The following is a 2439-nucleotide window of genomic DNA, read 5'->3' on the forward strand; positions in this document are numbered from 1 at the left end:
ACTTTGGGAGGCCAAGGAAGGTAGATCGCTTGAGCCTAGGAGTTTGAGACCAGCCTGGACAATATGGGGAAATCTTGTCTCTACAAAAAACTACAAAAAAAAAAAAAAATTAGCCAGATGTGGTGGCATGTACCTGTAGTCCCAGATCTTTGGGAGGCTGAGGTGGGAGGATCACTTGAGCCCAGGAGGTCAAGGCTTCAGTGAGCTGAGATTGCACCACTGCACTCCAGCCTGGGCAACAGAATGTGACTCTGTCTCAAAAAAAAAAAAAAAAAATCGGCTGGGCACGGTGGCACACGCCTGTAATCCCAGCACTTTGGGAGGCTAAGGCAGGCGGATCACTTGAGGTCAGGAGTTCAAGACCAGCCTGGCCCACAAGGTGAAACTCCGTCTTTACTAAAAACACAAAACTTAGTCAGGCTTGGTTGTGCCTGCCTGTAGTCCCAGCTACTTGGGAGGCTGAGGCATGAGAAGCGCTTGACCTGGGAGGTGGAGGTTGCAGTGAGCCGAGATTGCATCACTGCACTCCAGCCTGGGCAACAGAGTAAGACTCTGCCTCAAAAAAAAAAAAGTAGTCCTAGCTACTTGGGAGGCTAAGGCAGGAAAATCACTTGAGCCTACAAGGTTGAGGCTGCAGTGAACCATGATTGTGCCACTGTACTTCAGCCTGGGTGACAGAGAGAGACCCTGTCTCAAAAAAAGAGAGATTTGGCCAGGTAGGGTGGCTCAAGCCTGTAACCCAGGACTTTGGGAGGCCGAGGTAGGTGGGATCATCTGAGGTCAGGAGTTCAAGACCAGCTTGTCCAACATGGTGAAAAACTATCTCTATAAAAATACAAAAATTAGCCAGGCGTGGTGGTGGGCGCCTGTAACCTTAGCTACTGGGGAGGCTAAGGTGGGAGAATCACTTGAACCTGGGAGACAGAGGTTGTAGTAAGCTGAAATCGCACCATTGCACTCTATCCTTGGCAACAGAATGAGACTCTGTCTCAAAAAAAAAAAAAGACTTATCACCACTAAAGATATTTAAAATAAAATTTAAATAAAGTGATAGGCTCTCAAGAATCTAAAATTGGCACTTTCAGATTGTTTTATAAAAGAACGTTGTTAGCATTAAGTGATTGTCCTAAAATGATTGCTGTGGTTAAGTAAGAGAAGAAGATAATTAGTAATTGGTATGTTTAAGTTCTTGTTTGTTGATGTGCATTTGTGTTGCATTGCTTTGTAGGCACACCTTGTGCTTCCATAGAATTGTCGGCCTCTGCAACAGGAAAGAGCAGCTCTGGGGAAGTCGCTGGTGCTGACAACCTTTGCTCACACCCCTACTGGGTCCCCGTCTGCATCCTCCAACACCCTCATCCTGCTTCCTTTACATAGAGTTCATTCTCAAGGAATCTTTTGGCCTGATAGTGAGGCCTCCTGCAAGGAGAAGGAAAGTCAGTGTCTGAATCTGTTTGGGCGGCTATAACAAACACCACAGACCAGGTAATGTATAAAGAACAGAAGTTTATTTCTTACAGTTCTGGAGGCTGGGAAGTCCAAAGCACTGGCATGTGGTGTCTGTTGAAGGCCTTCTTGCTGCATCCTCCCTCATGTGGTAAAAGAGATTGGAAGGCAAAGAAAACGGCACAGATGCTATGCTCTTACATAGTTTCAGGGCAGAAGAGAGTGAACACCTGCTCTCACCCTTTTATAGGAACCCTAATCCATCCCTGAGGGCTTCATCCTCATGACTTAGTCACCTCCTGAGGCCCCACCTCTCAATACCATCACATTGGCCAGTAAGTCTCAACACATGAATTCTGGCGGACAAAAGTAATTGGCAAAAATCACAATTACTTTTGTACCAAACTAATATCTATCTATATTTAGCTATATATACATATACACACACGTATTTTTAAAGTTATTGTTTTATTATTTATTTTATTTTATTTTTTGAGACAGGGTCTCACTCTGTTGCCCCAGCTGGAGTGTAGTGATACAATCATGGCTCACTGCAGCCTCAAACTCCTGGGCTCAAGTGATCATCCCACCTCAGCTCCCAAAGTAGCTGGGACTACAGGCAGAAAGTTATTGTTTTATATAAGCCATACTGATTCATTATAGAAAAATTGGAAAGTACAGATAGGTTTTTTTTTTTTTTTTTGAGACAAAATCTCGCTCTTGTCCCCAGGCTGGAGTGCAATGGCATGATCTCGGCTCACTGCAACCTCCGCCTCCTAGGTTCGAGCGATTTTGCTGCCTCAACCTCCCGAGTAGCTGGGATTACAGTCACCTGCCACCACCATGCCCGGCTAATTTTTGTATTTTTAGTAGAGACAGGGTTTCACCATGTTGGCCCGGCTGGTCTCAAACTCGTGACCTCAGGTGATCTGCCCACCTCGGCCTCCCAAAGTGCTGTGATTACAGGCGTGAGCCACCACACCCGGCCCAGAT

Source organism: Homo sapiens, chromosome 16 (genome assembly GCF_000001405.40).
Source record: "Homo sapiens chromosome 16, GRCh38.p14 Primary Assembly".
Taxonomy (NCBI): domain Eukaryota; kingdom Metazoa; phylum Chordata; class Mammalia; order Primates; family Hominidae; genus Homo; species Homo sapiens.